Below are 23,182 nucleotides of genomic sequence, written 5' to 3'. Positions count from 1 at the left end.
AACTGAGTGAAGTTACAGCAAGTTAGTAGGGTTCCTAAAACCTGATTCCTTGTGTCTAAGTAGGGAACATGACACCTGCTACTCTTCATTTCAAAGACTCAAAATGAGGTCAGTACTGGATTTATTAGTGTATTAAATAACTGAGGGTTAGTATGGCAAAGTCGAGTAGGAAAGGTTCCTAGTGGATTCTCATCATTAGTTTTGTGTTTCTATTATTTTCACTTTACGTTTCACTTTATGCAGTTCAGTTTGGAGCCTAACCACTGAATGAGATGGTAGTGTAGGATGCTGGAATTTAAACTACATTGACTATAGGAAGTTGTATGTGAATGAGAAAGTGACATGAGAGGGCTTGGGAGCAGAGGGAGCAACGAGCTAAACGGGCCCACTCAAGGGGAGAGGCATCACAGCGTAGCTAGCGTGGGAGAAGAGCACAGAGGCATATGCAAGGCTTGTAGGGAGGGTGAGAGAAGGAAGGCACCATAGGCACTGTGAGTAGAAAGAATTGCTCATGGAAATGCACCATGGTCTGAAAGGGTGGGTTCTATTTGGTGACAGGTGAATAATTTGGTGTGGCTGAACTCTACCCACATGAACAACAGGAAAAAATGAAAAGAAGAAGTTGGGGCAAGATGGTAATGAACAACATTTTTATGCTTGTCCAAGGAATTTCTAACACACTATAAATGTAAGAAAATGCTGCATACTCTGAAGAAATACTAAGAAATATATATCTGGGGAATATTTTTGATAAAAAGAGACTAGAAAATGGTAAATGTTGGGAGTCAAGAATGTCTCTGATGAGAGAACGGAAGGAAACCCCACTGCTGAGACAGACAACTCAGGAAGATTTGAGAGAAGAGCCCCAGGGAGGAGGACTCCAATGATTACCTTTGCTTCTGCCTTAATCCTTCCTAAACCTACATGTGAGAAAGTTGAACAAGAAAGCAGGATTCCTGACTCATCTCAAGGCTGCTAAGAAGGACGGGGTGAGGGGGAAGCAGCTATCAGAGCTGGCTTCCTGAAGCCTGTTGTGTATGAAAACTGCTGTCTAACATGAAAGCTGTGGGGATAAAATTTGCATGTAAGTAATCAGGTGCAATATTTGTGAGTTAAGTGAAGTTAAATCTAATTGTAGAAAAGACACAAATAATTTACCTAATTTTATTTTTTTTAAATTCAGAACAGTTATTTGCTCTGAACTTGATGACGAGAAGATCAGCAAATTCCTTAACAGAGAATACAAGATCTCCAAGATCTTAGATGCGAGTCATGAATTAGGTTCTTCTGTCTTTGTAAAATCCATCTGGAAACATTGTGTATTATTCTAAATAACTTTTTTCTCTCTTAACCTTCTACCGAGTTAGAAGAGAGGGAAACAGTAGAGGCTGCTTTACCCTATAACCAAGTATTTTGGGAGGTATAAAGGCATGACATACAGGCATTTTCACTTATGGTTGTAAAAACTTATTTTAACATTTCTGCTACCACTTCTGCCTTTCTCATTAATATTTATGAATGTGTTAAGCTCTGAATATTGTCTTTCAATATAGTGGGCTAGATTCCCATGCAACACTCCCTATGCTAACTAATGCCCTGAAAGAGTAATACCAATAGATGTTAACACAACCAGAGTAGGTAAAAGTCAGAAGATGGACAACACTCAGTTTTAGCAAAAATGTATGGCGCTAAAACTCTACCATGTTGCTGGTGAGAGTGTAAAATGCTATACTTTAGAAACTATTCAGCCATTTCTTATAATGTTAAACATAGATCTAGCTCGTGTCACAATTTCACTGCTACGTATTTACTCAAGAGAAATAAAAACATGTCAACACAGACATACACAAAAACTTGCACAATATTTTGCTAGAATTTTTATTTACAATAGCCAGAAACTGAAACAACCCAGGTATTTCTCAGTAGGAGAATGGATATCAATATTTTTCAACAATGAAAGAGTACAAGCCCTGTTCTGTACAACAACATGAGTAAATTTTAAAAGTACTAAGTAAATGAAGCTAGATAAAAATTAATGCATGGAATTTTATGGTTTTTACATCAAGTTCAAAAAAATGCAAAACTCATCTATAATGACAGAAATTAAATCAGTGTCTGCTTATGAGAGGGCAAAAAGGAGACATAATGGAAATTTCTGAGAAAATGGAGATATCTTGTATATTTTTCGGGTATTTGTTATTTGATTGTGTAAATCGTCAAAATTTATTGAATTGAATATTTTGGTTCTTTGCATTTTACCATATAGAAATTTTACCAAAAGAAGAAGATGATATAAAATCTGCCTCCAAGGCAAGCGTCAAAATAAACTCAAAACCATAAAAACATAAGTAGGCAGTATTTATAGATATTTCAGCATGTTGTACACCCCTGGAACTTAACCCTCCTTAGAATTGTATGCAGATATAAGTGGTTAATATGAAGCTGATGGACATTCATAAGGTAATTAATAAGTTTTAAAACCTTGGAATCTTGAAATAAAATGTGTAGCAATGTCTACCCGCAAAAGTCATGCCCTGAAAGTTACCCAAGATGAGGAGAGAGGATCTTTAAAGTAGGGAGGGTTGTTTTAAATAAAGGGATAGCCTGAAGAAAAACATATTTATGGGTAGAAAGGTCAAAATCAGAGTGATATCAAAAGGAAAGCAGGCTTGGAATGAAATAGATAATGAAGAAACATCTGGCATCCTTATGGAGCATGCATAAGCATCTCTGGCAGCTCATTTGTCAAGCTCAATTTTCACAAAACAATAATTGTGTTTGATTAGAGTTTGGGGAGCAGGAATCTCAGAATGCAGGATGGAGCCATTTGGGGCAATACTGTACAGTTTTTAAAATTTTTTAATTGATACCTAATAGATAATCATATTTTCAGGATACATGTGATAAATTGATACATTCACATAATGTGTGAAGATGAAACCAGGGAAATTGGGGTATCCATCACCTTAAACTCTATTCAGGAACACATTGTTTAATTTCCAATATATTTGTGTAATTTCCAAAGTTCCTCTTATTATTCATTTCTGGTTTTATTCCATGGTGATCAGAAATGATACTTGATATGATTTCTACTTTCATGAATTTGTTGAGACTCGTTTGTGGCCTAAGATATGGTCTATTCTGGAGAATGTTCCATGTTCTGATGAAAAGAATATGTATGCAACAGCTGTTAGGTAAAATGTTCTGTAGGTGTGAGTTAGCCTATTTAGTCTAGTGTGTAATTTAACTCTGATGTTTCTTTGTTGGTCTTCTGTCTAGAGGATCGTCTATCACTAAGAAGCAGGCATTAAATTTCCCCACTATTATTATATTGCAGTCTGTCTCTCCCCTTAGATCTATTACTATTTGCTTTATATACCTCGGTGTTCTGTGTTGGGTGCATAGATATCTAGAATTGTTATATCCTCTTGCTGAATTGTCACCTTTATTTTTGTATAGTGACTTTGTCTATTTTTATAGTCTTTGACATGTTGCTATTTTATCTGATAAAAGCATTGTTACTTCTGCTCTTTTTTTATTTCAACTTGCATGGAATATCTGTTTCCATCCCTTTACTTTTTGGTCTATACGTGTCTTTATAAGTGAGTTTTTTTTTAGAAACAGGGTCTTGTTTTGTCACCTAGCTGGAGTGCAGTGGCATGATCAGGTGAGGTAGATCTCTTGTAAATTACATAGTTTGGTCTTGTTTATTTATTCATTCAGACACTCTTTTTTTTTTTAACTGGAGAATTGAGTCCATTTACATTCAGTATAATTATTGATACATAAGGACTTACTACTGCTTGGTTTTTGGGGGGTTTTTTGCTTGTTTTCTGGTTGTTTTGTAGCTCCTCTCTTCCTTTCTCTCTTTCTTATCATCTTCCTTTGCAATTGAGTGATTTTATCTGGTAGTACACTTTAATTCATTGCTTTTTATTTTTAGTGTATCTATCACAAGTTTTTGCATTGTGGCTGTCATGAAGCTTATATCAAATATCTTACAATAAGTTATTTTAAAGAGACGGCAGCTTATCTTAGATTGCAATAGAAAGTATAGACTCAAACAAAATACTGAAGAAAAAATTTCTACACTTTAACTTAATCCTCCCTATGTTTTAACTTTTTGTTGTTATCTCAATTTAGCTATTTTTTGTTGCCTGTCTCTTAACAGGTCACTGTAGCTATTGCTGGTTTTGATTGATTTGTCTTTTGAGTTTTATATTAGAATTATGAGTGGATTTCACATGTCAGTTACAGTGTTTGAGTATCCTGAGTTTGTCTATGTACTTTTACAGTTCATTTGATACATTCAAATGCTTCTTTGTGCACATTAGTGTTTTTGTTTTTGTTTTGTGTTAGATGGAAGACCTTGCTTTTAACACTTGTAAGATTTTGTTTGTTTAGGAAAGACCTGCTCCTTCATACTTGAAGAATAGCTTTGCTAGATAAACAATTCTTGATTGCCATTTTTTTCTTCCACACTTTGAAAATGTCATCTCACGTACTCCTAGCCTTTACAGTTTCTGTTGAGACATCTTTTTCCAGATGAATTTGAGTTCCTTTATATTTTATCTGTTTCTTTTCTTTCACTACTTTTAGGGTTGTCTCTTTACTCTTGACATTTAAGAGCCTGATTACATGCCTTTTGGTAGTCTTATTTGGGTCAAACCTGTTTGGTGTTCTCAGACCTTCATGTACCCGAATAGTTGTATCTTTCTCAAGTTTTGGAACATTTTCTGTGGTTATTTCTTTGAGTAAGCTTTCTATTCCTTGTTCTTGCTCAGCTTCCTGTTGATCTCCAGTAATTTTTAGAGTTAGTCTTTTGAAGTTATTTTCTATAACTTGTTCATGATTTTTGTTCCTTTTTTTCCCCCTCTGACTGTGTATTTTCAAATAGCCTGTCTTTAGGCTCACTGACTCTTTTCTCTGCTTGAGTCATTCTGCTGTTGAGAGCCTCTAATAAAGTTTTCAGTTTAGTAAATGTATTTCTCAGTTCCAGGATTCTGAATTTACATCTATGTCTTTGTATTGACGGATTAGTTATTTTTTTCCAGTCTTCTCTACGTGGCTTGTTTTGGTTTTTATTGGATATGTTTGCTTAGAGATTCCTTCTAATTTATCTGTTGAATTTCTTTCTTTTTTATTTTCCACTAGGTTGCTGCCTCTTTATAGGTACTAGAGAGTGCCATAGGCCCATGTTTGCCTTGACTCTAGTAAGTGATTAGAGTACTGCCCATTCTGAATTAAGGAGGTCATAAAGGGGCTATCCCAGCAGTGTGGTGGGAAGGCTGGCTAGGGGTTCATGCCCAGGGGACCTGTGGAACATATCTCCCACAGTGTGGTGCTGGTGAGCAGCTGCTCTGATTTGGTGTCTTCTCTGCCCAAGTTACAGCACAGAGTTTCCAAGGCTGGGAATGACAGTCCCATCTTCCCCACTTTGTCTTTGGTTGCCCTCAGGGATGTTTCTCCTTCAGGCACTCCCAATGCTTCCTATGGGTTGAGGCAGGAATAGGTCTCCTGCTAGGAAACCCAGGATGGATGGGAAGCTGGTTGTTTACCTCTATCTCACTTTTTCCCGTGTAGAAAATATGAGTCTCGGAAAATTTTTCACTTACATGGTGTTGTACAGATTAGGGGGAGAAATGTCACAGATATGAAAGCCCAGTTCTCTCACCATCTGCTCAGAGCTTTTTACTTCTCTATGGACCTGGGAACTGTTTCACCCTCATACTTGGATTCTATGCTATTACTATTTTTAATCATGACACTGTCTATTTGCTTTTGGTTTTCTGATGAGGGGAGTGACACCAATGTGTTTCCATACTTCCATTCTGGAACCGGTCAATATTGTGAAGTTTCTCGTAGCACAGTTCAACACTACACCCAGAGCCCTCACCAGCTCGATGGGGGCCCCTTAGATTCTTCGTGGTCACCTGGCTCTTCTCTGTGCTATGCCCAAAGTTTCTCATTTATCTAGAAGTGTCAATTGAAAAACTACTTAAAATCAACATAAGAAAGGACTAGGAATCAGATGACAACTGCGTTTTGTTTTTCTGGCCACTTACAATGAACCAGTAGCCACTGCCTGGGATGCAGCATTGAAAATGGATGTGAAGTCTTTTGTAAGCTCAAGAAAACAGAATATGATGACTGATTAGCAAGGAAAGGGCCAGGGGTGGCACACATAATTGGGGAGCCTGTACTAGCAGCCACTTCAGCTTATAGGTGTGCTTTTTTAACAGTAGTTTCTAGAGCATTGTCTTTTGTTTATGGCCTCATAATTGTCTTCAATGATGATAAATGTTATTTGCCAGAGGGACTTTTCAGCATCCTGCAGCATTCTGCAAATTTCACACTATCTATAGTTCTTATCAAACTGTTGGTCTCAACTTTTGAGTGAGTCAGGAAATCAGTTCCAGGAGTCTCTCAACCATGTTTTAAGGAATAGAATATAACAACACAGAGTAACTAGAAACAAACTAAATTTCTAATTTTATACATATGTATATATTTATATGGTTCATTTTCTATAAAATGCATTCATTGCTTGTTTGAGAGATTATTCCCAGTACAGTGAATTAAAAAAACTATTTTTTCTCATTTTAGGTGTCAGTGACATGAAATTTGTCACTGCAGATATCCAGAGAGCTGAAATAAAGGGTAAGCCATGTGTGCAGCAATTGATACACATGTGATATCAGTCATGGAACTTCTTGACTTAATATTAAATGATTATCAAAGTTGATGTTAGCCCTTGCTTGCTCTGAATTTGGGGTTATTAACAGAGTTTAATCTGGAGTATAATTCTGACATTCAGATTATCAAAGACAGAGGTGAAATGTGGGCCACACTTGGCAAATGGAACTCATGAGGTTTGGTCCCAAAGGTCTCAGAGCTATAAATGGGGAAGCAATTTACCTGAATTAAAACCTGAGGTGCAGGAAATGCAGGAAAGCTAGCTTTCCTCAAAGAGATACATCAATCCTTGAATGATTCAGCTCATTCGGCATGAGCTGGATGTCTCACGCCCAGGCACACAGCTTTTGGGCCTTTCTAGTAAAGATTCTGTCCATAATAGGTTAGACACTGACCCTGCCATGTTCTGAGACCTCTGGGAGGTCTCTGGAGACAACTTCACACTGAGAGCATCCATCAAGTACAGGAGGCCCCTGGGAACCATAACTTGCTCACTTCAAGAGCTAATGCCTTGTGGGGACATCTTGATATTGCTATTGCTTGGCAGAAGAGCAAACCACAGCTCTTCCCCCAGAGACTCTACTCAGCAATCATTTCCATCTATAAAGAATTTTTTATTGCTGTGCTGGAGACATAGAGGGAAGCTGTGAGGCTACTATAGAATTCCTAACTTAGAATAACAACAGTAGAGTCTCCTACCTTGAAGCATTCTTATTTCAGCTCAGTCGACTTCACAACAGCATTACTCTCCTGTTTTGCAGAGTATTTAAGGCATGCAGGGATTAAATGACTGCCTTGAGGTGATGTTGGTAATTGCATTTTAAAACTTGTCGAAGAGTGATTTTGATTCACATAAGGCATTTTACAAGAGGGTGATTTTGGCTGGTAGAAAACAAGGCATTCTGACAATGGGTTGCATACCCTGTTGTTCTGTGAGGAAGAGACCTAAAAGGTTTTGTCTGAAGTAACGATGTTATCCATGGAAATGGCATTTTTCTTAGAAGGTTAAATTGCATAGTTTTGTGGAGATAGAGATTATGCTTAGTACATAGGAGGAGTTCAACATGTTTGTTGATTGAAATTAAAAAAATGAATGACACTGTCCCTTATGCAGCAGCGTACTCACCTACCAGGCATGCATGTTGAGTCTGTTTTCCCAGGGCTGCTAATAAGCTCTTTTTGCTATTGATGCTTTATCTTACTAGTGTCCTCGTGTTTGGGAATAGGCAGGGTAGAATCCAGCCATTGTCTGTGATAGTCAGCAAAGCAAACCAGCGATGGTAGGAACCCATGACTGGCGACTTTTAGCACCATATCAGGCAAATGTGAAAGAAATATTTAAAACTTCAGATTACTTCTTAAAGCTGTTTTATGTGAGAAAGGAAGTTACAGCCTGTGTATCCAAAACTAAATGAAGAAGAAAAGATTTTGTATGTGTTGCAGGGCTGGAACATGGAATTGTGTTCTACACGAATTTATAGAAGCGCTTGCAGCCAGACTATGTACTGATAAATTGGAATTGAATGTATTCTCATGAAATTTGCTTTACCCTTTTCCACAGAGTTGCTGGAGTGCTGAAATGCAGAACCTAGAGCAATACTGAAGTATGGACTGGGTCTGAGCTGCTGTACAGCTGTTGAAGGCAGTCTGAGGCACCCTGGAGAGAGACCTGGGCTTTCAGTACCCTTCTCAGGCCCCCAGCCCTCCTAGAGCATTCCTCAGCGAGATCTGTCAGCTTGCCATGCACAGGTTTTGCCTTGTCCCAGATCCTAGACCAGTGCTAAGTGGCAGCAGCAAGCCCTTACGCACATTCCTATTGAGGACATTCCTTATTGTATTTCCTTGCGGACGTCATAGTGTTACTGGGGGGTCCTTGTTCTTAGAGCTCCCAAGATGGTGGCTGCTTCCAAGATGGTGGCAAGCCTCGTGTTCTCTGACCTGGGGTTCTTGGCCTCATGGATTCCAAGGAATGGAACCTTGGGCCATGCGGGGAGTGTTATAGCTCTATTAGAAGCCCTGGGTCACGGAAGAGGACCGTGGAACCTATGACTAGTGTTCAGCTCAATTAGGACAAACCCTGGCACTTAGCCATGCAGGAACAATGGCAAGCCTTTATCCTGATCCAGAGTGGCAACAGGCGCCTTGCTGGATCAGAAACGCAGTGGACACCCTGCCAGATCCGGAGGGGAGAAGTCAAGGGAGGGTCTGGGACGACAGACAACAGCGGTGGTGGACGGCAAGCGAAAGCTCAGTTTGAGCCATCACAAACACAGACCAGAAGAGTGCGCAGTTGCAAGATTTAACAGGGTGAAAACAGAGCTCCCATACAATGGTAGGGGACCCAAAGGGGGCTGCTGTTGCCGGCTCAAATGCCTGGGTTTATATCCCGATCATTGTCCCTCCCCCTGTGCTCTCAGGCAATAGATGATTCGCTATTTCTTTACCTTCTGTTTTTGCCTAATTAGCATTTTAGCGAGCTGTCTTTACTACCTGATTGGTTGGGTGTGAGCTAAGTTGCAAGCTCCCTGTTTAAAGGTGGATGCAGTCACCTTCCCAGCTAGGCTTAGGGATTCTTAGTCGGCCTAGGAAATCCAGCTGGTCCTGTCTCTCAATAGTGCCCCAGCTCCTACTATTGGGTGTCTTTGTGGTGGCTTCAATGGCTTATTTCAAAACTTACCTGGACCTGGTGGTCCCAGAGAAAGCTTCTAGAATTCAATGTGCTTCCGCAAGTGGGAGCCACTTTCTCATCTTGACTCAGCGGTTCCATTCTGATTCTTAACCTCCAATGCCAACTATCTTCAGCATATTGCAAACTTCAGCAAACGAACAAAGCCAAGACTACTAACCTGTCAGGAATCTTTCTGCAAATCCGAAAAAAGCTCTGGGAGGGCAGAGGGCAGTGTCTTGTGCACTTAGAGAATGCCTTCATGTATATATCTGTATTATGCAGTTTTCTTAAGGGTGTCTTTTTCTCTGGAAAGATCTAACCCCGTCCCAGGCTACATGACTCGGAAGGCAGAGAAGTGTTGGATTTCAGCCCCACTCACCCCTCAGCTAGGTGCCTATGTGCGTTAGACCACCTATTTGACTATACAAATGGCTTATGCCCATTTAAAAAATTATTTTTCTAGAAGGCTTTCTAGTCCAGAAATTGCTCTAACACAATAACAATAAATAACACAAATAATTGCTCTAACACAATAAACAATAAATAACAATAAATTGCTCTTTATGCTTACCTGAATCTTGGCTTAGCACGGAAGGATCCAGGATTTATAGGCAGGCCTTCCAGATGTCAACAACTCCTGAAGTATGAAATTTTGACATGATCGAGATTTAGCAACGTGTTTCTATTGGCCTGAGGTCATTTGTACCATTGTTTTCACACAGGCATCCCTATTATAACCAAACCCAATGCCTAGACAGTGCCTGGCCTATAAGAGAGAGACAATAAAAAAGTTGTGGGCTCAGTTAACAAGCCATTGCATCACCCACCATCAATGCCCTCCTGCTGACCAAGAACCAGACCAAGAACCATGTTGACCACGTCTTGCTACCAGGAAAATCACACTATTTGTCCAACAAATCCTAAGATATAATAATAAAGATGAAAAGTTACATTAAAAAGTATTACTAAAATTAGGATATCAATCTGCATGTACTTAAATACGTGAAAAGAGGTAATATAATGTGTATGAAAAGAGGTAATATAATGTGTATGAAAAAAATGTTCTACTGAATGATTTTGGAAGCAGTTGATAAATTATTTTACCAGAAAGAGTAAGAATGGCATAATCATCTGTAGATACCACAGTACATATAATTCTTTATGAGATGGTTAATAACAGTGGAGTTGATCTTGGGAAAACATGCACGAATTGTGTGTAGCTTGCCAGCCGTTTTTCCCTCAAACCTTTATACTTGTGGCTTGTTTAACATCTTATAATCCCTTGTGATTACGTTGTTAAATCAATTTTTTCATGTTTCTTTTGTGGCCATCTTTTATAATTTTTATTTTTATACAGCCAGTGGGTCCCTGTTGTGAGGACGGCATGGGAGAGATGACTTCCTTCCAGCCTAAGGGATTGGGCACCGAAGACAGCACAGACAAGCATCCTTGGTCATTGCATGGAATAGAACATTTCAACAGCTCAAACACACTGGTAATGCTCCAGGAGAGGAATGAATGTTTCCTTCCCAGACATGTCATTTTGTATTAGCAGAAGCTGGACAGCTTGAGGATTATTGCTTGTATATCTGGAATTAAATTTCTAGCTCTCCGAATGCTCATCCTTTATAGCAGTGCCATGTTCTCGGGAGTTTAGCCAGTAATAGTGTTTGCTGCCACAATAGATACAAGTTGTTGGAAGCTGGTCACATCCACTCTCCTTCTTTACTGAACATAATGAATGATCACCCATTGCGTGGATAACAAAGCAATCAGGAAGTAAAACCTTTCTTGTTCTTTTTTGGCTCAATGAAAGGCAATACACGTGCTTGCTAACAACTACATGGCCAAAGAAAACACTCAAATAAACCTGCGAGTTTGTTCTTGCTTGGGGAGCAGGAGAAGTTAATGCCATGAGGCCATTCTAAAGTGGACCAGGTGAGTTGGATACATTAAAATGATTAATAACAGGGATGGTGAATGATGTCCCTCAAGAACATACATGATTCTTTCCTCCACCACTTGTCTTCAGTCTTTGCATTGAGATAAAAATCAGTTACTTATATGTACAAAAATAAAGGAAGGAGCTCATAAAAAATTAAAAAGTGGTATCAGAATGCAAAATAAATAAGACAGAATATGAACCAAGTCTTGTAACAATGTTAAATACATGAAATGAGGCTGTAAGTCTGTGATTGCAGTAAGAGGCACACAGGGGCATTTGAGTTCGGTCCTAAAGAGCAGAAAGCATTTTGTCATGTAGAAATGGAAAGAGCGCCTCAGGCAGCTGAAATAGTACACAAGTGGGTGAAGAGGGGAGAAACGCCTTTGAGGGCATGGAGTTTGGCTGTGTAGACAGGGCATATGGATTCAGTCTACAGAGAGCAGGCTGGCGATGCAACTGGGTGATGAGCACAGGGCAGGCTGAACCAGCAGAAGAGCCCAGGACCCCTCCAAATAGAAGCAGTTTAAAAATTCCCTCTCAGGTTTGTTATTTAATACTTCAGAGGATACAAACAACATATCAAAAGAAGTGTCAGGATTGGATTTTTATGTGAAATTTCATTTGGCTACTGGGTTTTGTTTTATTAGAAGAGTCTATCATTGCTTGTTGTCAGCATACAAGTCTTCACGCTGAGGGGGCACCTGGCACTTCCTGCAGTGGTGGGGTTTTATAGCATGCACCACACAGCTGCACCACCGCCCGCCTCCTGACCTGACCCATGCAACACAGCACTCTGCAGATGCCTCTTGTTCCTGGTCATCCGGGAGTCTCCTCACTAACCATTTCCAGCTGTTAGCACCTATATGGGCCACTGTTTGGAAAAATGCGGAGACCATTTGGACCCAAATGTCTTACTTAATGTTTCATTGATGCATACTTCATATACCACAAATATCACCAATTATAAGCATAAAATATGATAAGTTTTGACATAAAAACTCAGTCTTATATTCACCATTACATTACAGAAAGTTCCTTCCTTATGTTTGAAAAAATTCATTTTAAAAAGAAAGGCTGTGGTGTCCTTGTGGAATACACTCGTGGGCTTTCAGTGTGAGACGCCTTCTGGGAGCCATGATCAAGCCTGGACTTTGAATAAGGCAGCTGGAGAGTGGAGGATTCATGGAAGGTACACTTTGGAGGAGGAGATCTAGAAACTTTGTTAGTGTGTATGATGGGATGTAATAGCAATCAATTACATATCAATAACTAGGGTAAATTTTCAACATTATTGTTGATAATAGAAACCGATGAGTTACCTACGCAAATAATAATTTAAGAAAGGTTAATTTTTGTTGTGGTTCTATAAAAATAATGCTGTTTACCCGAACTGATCCATGCTCTTCACCATTTATGCAAGATTATCTTGCAGAAGCATAGCAATTATATACATCACTAATGTGGTCGGGGCTCTTGAGTGAATTCTGTTTCATTGGCATTAAGCACATTCTTCAGTGCTAAACAATGAGGTAGCTTCTCATGTTGTGTGATATTTAACAAATTTAGCACATTGAAAAGGCTCTCTGGGGTAAAATAAGATGTTTGTAAGTTGACATTTTGTATATTTTCCTAAGCCAATGTAAATACTATACAAAGAGATGGCAGTGAGGCTTCTGCAAGGTATCAATACAACCTCAAATGACTAAGTGCATGGCATTTTCTAAATTTTTAAAATTACTTCTTGAATACTTATTATGCCCTTATTCCACACCAGGTAGTGGAGATATAAATAGAGATCGTTTCTATTTCCATTAAGCTTTAAAACTTAGTGGAAAGAAAACTGACTTTAATCAAATAATGCTACCAAGATATAATGTAAGTGATAAGTGCAAAGAAGAAAAAGCGTTAATTGTAGAGCATCTATACTTGGGAATCCTAATACACTCTGGAAAATAGCTGAAAAGTTTCTTTGAGATCATGACATTTGAATTGAAATCTCAAGTTCAGGGACTAGAAATGAGGATCTGAACCAAGAGAGGAGCTTTTTCCAGGACAGGAGTTTGGACAATGTGAAGCACTTGAGAAGATGGAAGATGGTGAATGTGAGCTGAGGCGAGTGGAGAGGGAGAGTAGAGGAGACAAGGCAGATAGAGCAGACACTTGATCGTGAGGGACATGGGAGGCCATGCCACGGACTTGACCCTTTCTCTTACCTGTGATGACTCGTCTGAGAGACTTTATGCAGGAGAGCAGCACGATTGCCTTTGGAAATGGCCATCAGGCAGCCATGTGGAGTCTCTATTGCTCAGAAGACAGCAGGACACCACCTGGAAGCAATTCCGAGTAAGACACAGTGCTCAAGACAATGTTCGGATTAACCCTACATTCCACCAATAGGTATCAAGGACTCCCGACGTTTCAGGCATGGCACGGGGATTGGGACAGAGCAGTGGGAAAATGACAAAGGCCCTGCTTTTCATTCTAGTGGGTGTGTCAAGGGCTTAGAAGATCAGTAACAAAGGACAATGTGGGAGAGAAAAGAATGGAACAAAAAAATGACAGGAATGAAAGTAGATCTCTGCGTTTACACTGGGGAAATGTCAAAGTTCTGAGGGGAAAGGAGAAAACAACAGTGAACCCTACTCTGAACCAGTGTCAACAATTAATTAACAAAGTATAGAAATTAGCTGATTTTTTTTTGCATGTGTACCCTGTAAGAACAGGAGAGGAATTTTATTAGAACCCCCTTTTCTAGAGGGATAATGGCCGGGCTGTTCATTTTCTGTGATTTGCAGTTCTGTAAATATATTTATAATGATCATCAACTCTATATCTAGCCTACAGATTCACAACTCAAATATAGTAAATATGGAGCATCTGAAAATGCACAGCTGCTGTGTTTACTAAAGCACTTATTACATAAAAATAATATCTGTTATTCAATTGGGTTCTAAATTTGAACATGATACATACAATTCTGGTTATATTCACTATTGGAGTTAAGGAAAATGAATGAGGTCTACCTAAATTGATATGTGAGAAATTAAAAGCAGAATAAACACCCACCCACAGTGAGTGGCAGATATTCTAATACTTTCTAATGTACTTCATAGAATGTTTACAGAAATACAAATGACTAAGATTCATTTTTGAAGACAATTTTGTGGCTAATGGAAGTAGTTAATTTGTAATGTTTGATAATCTAGAGCTTTGATTAATCTTAGAGCTTCACTAAGTAACTTATAACACAATTATCACACTTATAACAATTCAGTGTTATAAGTTACTTAGTGAACATTTAGGATTCATGATTGACTCTCTTGAAACCATCCTGGATAGTTAATTGTGGAGCCGTTTCTTTTTCCTTGATATTTACATTTCATTAGTTTTCATTTGAGACCATTTAGATTTAACAGTTAACAAAAACCTATTTGCCTTTAACCTCATGTAGGTTAAGTATGTTTTTCATTTGAATAGAGATGTTAAGACATTTTTGTTTTAAATTTATATATTTCATAACTGAAGTATTCTCAGGATATGTCATTAATGAAGGCAACAGGATATATTAAAATAGAATAACATGAAGAAAGGAGGTGTTAACCAATTGATGGCCAAGGAGTACAATTCAGTACCAAAACCTTATCGTTTTCCAATTTATCCTATAGAACTGCTTGAATGATTAAATCACTTAAAAAGTTGCCAAGTATCTTGTGCTGAGGTTCTCAGAGCCCTGATATGGCAGTGAAACACCCGAGTGCAGTTTTTATAGTGAGACACTCGAGTGCAGCTTTTACAGCGAGACACCCGAGTGCAGCTTTTACAGCGAGACACCCGAGTGCAACTTTTATAGTGAGACACCCGAGTGCAACTTTTATAGTGAGACACCCGAGTGCAGCTTTTACAGTGAGACACCTGAGTGCAGTTTCTATAGTGAGACACCCGAGTGCAGCTTTTATAGTGAGACACCTGAGTGCAGTTTCTATAGTGAGATACCCGAGTGCAGCTTTTATAGTGAGACACCTGAGTGCAGTTTCTATAGTGAGATACCCGAGTGCAGCTTTTATAGTGAGACACCCGAGTGCAGCTTTTACAGTGAGACACCCGAGTGCAGCTTTTATGGTGAGACACCCGAGTGCAGTTTCTACAGTGAGACACCTGAGTGCAGCTTCTACAGTGAGACACCCGAGTGCAGTTTCTATAGTGAGACACCCGAGTGCAGCTTTTATAGTGAGACACCCGAGTGCAGCTTTTATAGTGAGACACCCGAGTGCAGTTTCTACAGTGAGACACCTGAGTGCAGCTTCTACAGTGAGACACCCGAGTGCAGTTTCTATAGTGAGATACCCGAGTGCAGCTTTTATAGTGAGACACCCGAGTGCAGCTTTTATAGTGAGACACCCGAGTGCAGTTTCTACAGTGAGACACCTGAGTGCAGCTTCTACAGTGAGACACCCGAGTGCAGTTTCTATAGTGAGATACCCGAGTGCAGCTTTTATAGTGAGATACCCGAGTGCAGCTTTTATAGCGAGACACCCGAGTGCAGCTTTTACAGTGAGACACCCGAGTGCAGCTTTTACAGTGACACACCCGAGTGCAGCTTTTACAGCGAGACACTCGACTGCAGCTTTTACAGTGAGACACCCGAGTGCAGTTTCTATAGTGAGACACCCGAGTGCAGCTTTTACAGTGACACACCCGAGTGCAGCTTTTACAGCGAGACACTCGACTGCAGCTTTTACAGTGAGACACCCGAGTGCAGTTTCTATAGTGAGACACCCGAGTGCAGTTTCTATAGTGAGACACCCGAGTGCAGCTTTTACAGTGAGACACCCGAGTGCAGCTTTTATAGTGAGACACCCGAGTGCAGTTTCTATAGTGAGACACCCGAGTGCAGCTTTTACAGTGACACACCCGAGTGCAGTTTCTACAGTGAGACACCCGAGTGCAGCTTTTACAGTGAGACACCCGAGTGCAGCTTTTACAGTGAGACACCCGAGTGCAGTTTCTACAGTGAGACACCCGAGTGCAGCTTTTACAGCGAGACACCCGAGTGCAGTTTCTATAGTGAGACACCCGAGTGCAGCTTTTACAGCGAGACACCCGAGTGCAGCTTTTACAGTGAGACACCCGAGTGCAGCTTTTATAGTGACACGCCCGAGTGCAGCTTTTACAGCGAGACACCCGAGTGCAGCTTCTATAGTGAGACACCCGAGTGCAGCTTTTACAGCGAGACACCCGAGTGGAGCTTTTACAGTGACACACCCGAGTGCAGTTTCTATAGTGAGACACCCGAGTGCAGCTTTTACAGCGAGACACCCGAGTGCAGTTTTTATAGTGAAACACCTGAAGTCTTATCATAACACAATCAGTCATTTCATTTCGCTTCATGACTAAGTGTTGCCATTTAATTTGGCTCTAGTTCAAAAAGGCTGATTAAGCAACAGTCTATGATTAGCTTGCTGATAACCCAATCTATTTGTGTCACATGTGATTTCAATAGAACAGGATTTTGAATGGAAGAAATAATTTGCTAAGAAAATCTTGACTCAAAACTGGAAAAAATAGACAACATTGTAAGAGGTTTGTGATGGTCATAGAGTGTGGATGAATAGGGAACGTGGGCATGAGGGGCCCACCTCCATAGCGTCCCACCCCTTAGACTGACTGACTTTCCACAGATGTTAATTCACGGAAAATTGTACTGATGCTTATTCAGTTCTTAAAACATGCTTGAGAAAATAATAATAACTAAACATCAAGGATTTCTTTTAAAACTCCTCCATGCACAATTAAAAATATAATTTTGCAAAGCCCTTTCACATCTGGTATGTCTATCATCAGCATTATCTTATATGATCTCAAAGGCAGATTTAATTTCTTTATTTTACAAGTAAGCCAATCAAGGCACATAGATTTTCAAGGATTTACTTCTGATTGACTTTTTTAGAGGGTGTTCTAAAATTATACCACAGTTTCTGAAGTATAATTTTAAGCTTTTTTAAAAACTATATTTCCTAGTGTGATGGATTTATTTTTTAAGACTGCAAATTAAGGTTTCACGTGGCCTTATTCTCCAAATTACATGTTAGATAGATAGTTATTTGTCAACCCAATATCATTGTCTTTTTCTTTTTTATGCATCTGATATAAACAGAATACGTTTCATAATCATATTCTAAAGTCTTGTGGGTAGGGGTGACCCCTGTGTCTGAGTTCTGGCAAATGATCGACGCGCAGAAGCACTGTGTGGACCATCTCTGAGGGCCGCGTCAGTGCTGACTCAGGAAGAGGGGAGCCGTTCTGTGCTTTTCCTGTCCTTCCTTTTCGCTGCCTGGAAAGCAGAATGATAGCAGTGTTTCCAGCAGCTGTCTTGGGCCATGGCACAATCTTGTGAATGAGAGTCACATGCTGAGGGTTGAGGGGAAAAATAAGAATGAAGGGTCTTGTTTCATTCAAATTCATGAAACCTCTGTGTCACCTTTGAGCTGTAATCCGCCTGAATTCTTTTACATGAGAGGATAACTTGGTGTGTTTAAGCCAATATTTGGATTTTCTGTTATATATAGACCACTCCAATCCTAACTGATATTAAACAAGTGTTAGAGTATTAAAGTATTAGAAACATGGATATTAGCCTTTTGGGTGTAAAAGTGTTAATATCACTAAAGTTGGCTTTTACATAGAGGGAAATGGTTTGTTTTTATCTATTCACTAATAAATCAGATGCATATCAATTTTATGTGCTTATCAAATATTCTAAAACAAGCTAAAAATCTTATTAGATGTAAAAAAGTTTTTAGTCTCAATGAGCTGAGCTTATTATTTATTTTAATAAGAATTTTTGGTGGTATGTCTATATAGTGATAATAAATACAACATTTTACCCATAATCCGATGAAAACTGGGATAGTCTATTGCAGAGCAAATTCTGAAACGAGGAAGGCAAATGAGTTATTTCTTTTCCCAAACCTTTAAGTGTGTGACCTTCAACAGGATCTGTGGGCTTTAGTTTTCTCAATAATGAAATCGGAGGGTAAGTCTTAAAAGTGTGTAACTTCACTTTTGGTTTTTAAATTATGGCCAAATAATATTATGAGAAACTTTATATCATATAATCATTAGATTTGAAAGAAAACAGATATTATCGAGTAATAAGATCTAGTCTCTATATTGATTTGATTCTTGTTTAATTTTGCACAGACTATACCTATGGAGGAAATGAAATGGCTTTTGTTGTAGGCAGATATTTATATTATTTTAAACTGCAGGGATTTGCAGTAAATGAGGGATTATAAATATGTACGTGGGAAAAGACTGGATATTAAAAGAAAAAAGAACTACTCAAAGATAAAATGGATGGCAAACATTTTTTTAAAAAAATCTAGCATGCTCGGCCGGGCGCGGTGGCTCACGCCTGTAATCCCAGCACTTTGGGAGGCCGAGGCGGGTGGATCATGAGGTCAGGAGATCGAGACCATCCTGGCTAACAAGGTGAAACCCCGTCTCTACTAAAAATACAAAAAATTAGCCGGGCGCGGTGGCGGGCGCCTGTAGTCCCAGCTACTCGGGAGGCTGAGGCAGGAGAATGGCGGGAACCCGGGAGGCGGAGCTTGCAGTGAGCCGAGATTGCGCCACTGCAGTCCGCAGTCCGGCCTGGGCGACAGAGCAAGACTCCGTCTCAAAAAAAAAAAAAAAAAAAAAAAAAAAAAAAAAAAAAAAAAAAAAAAAAAAAAATCTAGCATGCTCAAGAACATATGTGATAGACAAATCAGAAATCAGGAAAGTCAAGAATGGTGAAGCTTGTAAAAGAAAAGAGAAGGTCCTGTTTAAGAAAAAAAGAGAAGAATGAGTAGTTTCAAGAGCTAGTATATCATCCAAATGAAGCTGCGTGACTCCACCACTGGCTAGGAGTGTGACCTTGTGACAAATACTTAACCTTCCTAAACCTCAGTAGTTTGTTGATGATCATGATCTCTCATGAAAATTCTCTGTGGGACTTGCACAAACTTGATCTTTAAAAACATAGCTCCATTGTTATGAATTTCTCCTAACACTGAAAACAGAAAGGTAAAGAAAGAAGAGTTCTGAATAGGCAAAACAGACAATACACCTATTTTAGGAGATAAAATTTACATTTGCTTATAAAACCCCCATTCTTTATTAAACAGCCTTGTGTGGCCAATTTCCATATTTTTCCAGTTCACCAGCTTTCCCACTTCATTGAATTTGTCAAAATGTAAATGCAAGAAAAATTGTTTTGTTTAACTCAAATCCAGTTAATGAGAAATACCATGTAAGAATAAAGGATATAAATTTACCTATAATATTGAAAATCCAACAATCACATATCATCCTGCTTTGGTTCTTGTAAAATGTATTTTCAAAAATCATTGTGGAAAACCATTTACATTATTTCTAGTGAATTCATAAGTCACTCAACAATCAGGCAATTATCTGCATTGCAGAAAAATTACAATATGATAAAGCATATACCGAACAGAGGTGAATAGCACTTCATTTCAAGGTTCTCAAACACAAATGCTCATAAAATATTGTGGGATTTGTAGTATAGGAAGCTACAAAAATTGAAATGCAAATGTATAAGAAAGCAGAACTAAGGAAATCACATGGTTATACAAAGATGGGTGACACAGTTTAGGCGTTTGCTTTCTTTCTTTGTATTTTATTAAAAGTTCCAAAATGGACTAATTTCCCACTAAAGCCAAACCCAGTTCATTTTACAGATGAACTCTTTAAAATGAAAGATAAATAGTAAACCATTCTCTCAGAATTCCATCCTGCAGAGGCTCTGAGCACCAACTATCTGTCTGAGGTACACTTTAGTTTTTAAGTTGAGTTAAAAGTAATAAAAAAATGTGAGAGTCTTTAGACAATGGCACATTAATGGAGTTGCTGGAATGGTCTGAGAAATGCAGAACTCTGAATAATGTTTATTATTATTTTTGAAGGTTTTTATCTTGTTTTGTTTCATTCTGTTTTTGCTAAAAGCTGGGGCTTCCACGAATGACTTTAGGAAAGTTGGAACTGAATTATTTATGCTAAAAATGAGAATCTGAAGTTTAAATGTGAATAACTTGTATAACAACATCCAAGGCCATAGGATTCAGAAAAACAATGAGGTCATCTCAATAACTCAAACTGTTAGGAAGCATTTTTTTTCCATTTTTACCGTAATAGTTTCGGGGAGAACATGCTGCCTGATTAAGCTTGATGGTTAAAGCACATTTCCAAAAGCACTTTCGTAAGTAACATACATACTTAGCAGAATCTAAAAGACAGGTAATCACTTTAAAATTTTTTCTAATGAATGCCCTGTGTTCAAATCCTTTGTTTTCACAGGATTGGGCTTGTTGTTGTTGTTTTTGTTATTCATTGCCTGGAATACCTTTGCTATGAATCAAAGCAAGTGCCATGAGAATGGCTGAGTTCAGCTGGAGAGGAGCCCACTCAGTGGGTTTCCATGTGAATAATCATGCTCTTGCAGCCTTTGGGAGGTCATTTGCTGCAGGAGATTCTAAAATGAACCTGCTATGGAAATCAGAGGAGGGAGTGTGGCCTCCATCTTCTGTAATGAAAAGTATATACATCCTCAGGGTCATTACATTCTATGGGGACAGGGCAGGAAACTAAAAAAACAAGCAAAGGTGCCAGCAAATACAGTGGAGATAAACTCTGTTGTTCTTCTTTGTCTTTGTTTGGCAACACTACCAGATTTGAAGAATTGAACAAAAGTACTAGCTTATATAGGAATAAAATAACATTTTGCCTTTGCTAGGTTCTATTTTTCTTTAGAGCCACTTAACCAGATACAGCATAGTAAATACAGCAGTTCAAGGGGAAGATGGTAAAATAAAGGACAACAACAAAACTCCGAATATTTGCAGCTTATTAAATGGCACATTTTGAAAAGTGTGGCTTAGAAGATATCCAAGAAATTAACTTTTTCCGTGTGGTGACACATGTCTGACAATGTTGCAGCATTATATATGGTTTGGGTTACCTGTATCTATTCATTTTTAAATGTGTAGAGCATTTCCTAGAAGCAAGCAGGCTTGCTAGATTCTTAATAAATATTAACTCATTTAATCATCTTAAGAGTTCTCTGGAATAGACATTATTATTGGTAGTGTTATTCCCTTTTAACTTATAGAAAAACAGAGAGTCAGAGAAGTTACTTAAGTTTATGGATTATTACTGAGTGATATCTCATTATTTGAGAATTATATACAACATTTGTCTATATTGAAATAAGAGGTTTATATTTAATAGTTATTTGTTTATGAGATCATAGCAAAATTCAAAATCAGTTATTCTCTCGTGTGAAATGCTTTAAACATGAGCATAAATATATTTGTTAATATAGGAAGTTAAGGTCAACGTGATGAAATTGTTTTACAACATTTTGCTGGATGGCTTAATTTTCTTTAACTTACATTGTTTTTAATGGAAAACTTAAAAATGTCAGGTTGCTGAATCATGCGGAGGCAATCTTCATAAAATGCCTGAAGGTGATTGCTAAAAAAAAGCCGAAGCGGTGATGGTATAGTTTATGCTAAAAAAAAAAAAAAAAAAAAAAAGCAGAAGGTGACCAGAGAATAGTTCCAGAAGACAGGATATTGTACATAGGTTGCAAAAACGCATTTCTCTCGAAGATGAATCTGCATGTAGTAAAACAGACCAGTGCGTTGTCAAGGATGTGGAGCAAACAGAACTCCCATACACTGCTGATGGGAGTGTACAATGCACAACCACTCAGGAAAACTGGCAATTCCTTACAAAATTAAACATGCACTTACTCTTTGTCGTAGCAATTCCGCCTCTAGGCATTTATCCAGCAGATATGAAAACGCATGCACAAAAAGGTGTGTATTTAAGGGTTGACAGAGCTTTATTCCTAATATCTGAGCACTGCAAAACTCTATTGTCAATCCATAGATAGGTGAATTTTTTTAAAAAGTTCATTCAGACAATGAAATACTGCTTTCCAATGAATAGAACTGACAACTGACATATATAACCACAGGAAAGAATCTCAAAACATATTTCTAACTGATGGGACTAAGACACACAAAAAGTCATATCATAGGATTGCACAGATATGAAATACTGGAACAGGCAGAATGATAGTGACAGGGAACAGATAGGTAGTTCCCTGGGATCAAAATAAAACTTTGTGGGGTGATTGAAATATCCTTTATCTTGACTGGGAGTTATGTAAGTATATATTTTATCAAAACTCATTGAACTGTATACTTACAATGGGTACATTATTTTGCATGTATAGATCTAAAAAGGAAAAAGTACTAATACCGCGTTTTATATTCTAACAATTTATCAATAAGAGTAAATTACTCTTATTTAGGGAGACCTAAAGTGATGAAAAGAAACTGAGTAAGCAAAAGTCAAACCAGGAATTCAGACTTAAATATTACCATAATAGAATTAACAGAGTGATTTTTGTCTAAAATTCTCTGGACTCTATCCTTTATCTGTATATTTTATTGTGTAGTCAAAAATATTTAAAAAGCTAAAATCATTATTTTTATTTTCTCAAACATGGTGAATGTAAAACTACTCTGAGTTTCTTTAATTTTCACGACAAATGAAAGGTTAAGCCACTCTTTCTGGAAGGCCACACCAAAGCTTCATGAATGATTCTAAGTGACAACGACCAGGGTAAAATAAAGCACTTCGAATATAAGACTACAGTTATGATAGGCCTTAAAATCTCAAATTCTTAACAACAGAAACTGCACAATCTCCATTAGTTAAAAGGACGCGCGTGTGCTATACACCACCTTCTTAGAGCAGGCAATGAAACAGGAAGAAATGGGCAAATTCAATGTTTTAGT

The 23,182-nt window shown here is 38.4% G+C and overlaps 2 long non-coding RNA genes across 3 annotated transcripts in view, besides 3 other annotated features; both read left to right on the top strand.

Annotated features, from left to right (window-relative positions):
* The window catches only part of LOC105377612 (uncharacterized), a 37,949-nt gene extending 29,352 nt beyond the window's left edge, over positions 1–8,597 (top strand). For both annotated transcript variants that reach the window (XR_939631.2, XR_939632.2), the window contains exons 2-3: positions 6,607–6,660; positions 8,258–8,597. This is a non-coding gene — a long non-coding RNA (uncharacterized LOC105377612). The remainder of the gene's footprint in view (positions 1–6,606; positions 6,661–8,257) is intronic.
* Positions 7,035–7,673: an enhancer, noted in NCBI's record as "OCT4-NANOG hESC enhancer chr4:189981059-189981697 (GRCh37/hg19 assembly coordinates)". NCBI's record gives its function as "activates a minimal SCP1, AML or CMV promoter by ChIP-STARR-seq in naive H9 embryonic stem cells {active_cell/tissue: H9 hESC(naive)}" and the evidence as "EXISTENCE:reporter gene assay evidence [ECO:0000049][PMID:30033119]".
* Positions 7,839–9,038: an enhancer, noted in NCBI's record as "BRD4-independent group 4 enhancer chr4:189979694-189980893 (GRCh37/hg19 assembly coordinates)". NCBI's record gives its function as "activates an origin of replication core promoter dependent on BRD2, P300/CBP, MED14 and CDK7 cofactors, and independent of BRD4, by STARR-seq in HCT116 cells {active_cell/tissue: HCT116}" and the evidence as "EXISTENCE:reporter gene assay evidence [ECO:0000049][PMID:35650434]".
* LOC105377611 (uncharacterized) lies at positions 8,742–14,256 on the top strand. Its single transcript, XR_939630.2, has 3 exons — positions 8,742–9,028; positions 10,722–11,302; positions 12,338–14,256. It is a non-coding gene; the product is annotated as an uncharacterized LOC105377611 (long non-coding RNA).
* Positions 20,266–21,095: an enhancer, noted in NCBI's record as "OCT4-NANOG hESC enhancer chr4:189967637-189968466 (GRCh37/hg19 assembly coordinates)". NCBI's record gives its function as "activates a minimal SCP1, AML or CMV promoter by ChIP-STARR-seq in naive H9 embryonic stem cells {active_cell/tissue: H9 hESC(naive)}" and the evidence as "EXISTENCE:reporter gene assay evidence [ECO:0000049][PMID:30033119]".

Source organism: Homo sapiens, chromosome 4 (assembly GCF_000001405.40).
Source record: "Homo sapiens chromosome 4, GRCh38.p14 Primary Assembly".
NCBI lineage: Eukaryota > Metazoa > Chordata > Mammalia > Primates > Hominidae > Homo > Homo sapiens.
Note: the sequence above shows the minus strand (reverse complement) of the source record. Positions and strands in the feature narration are given on the sequence as shown.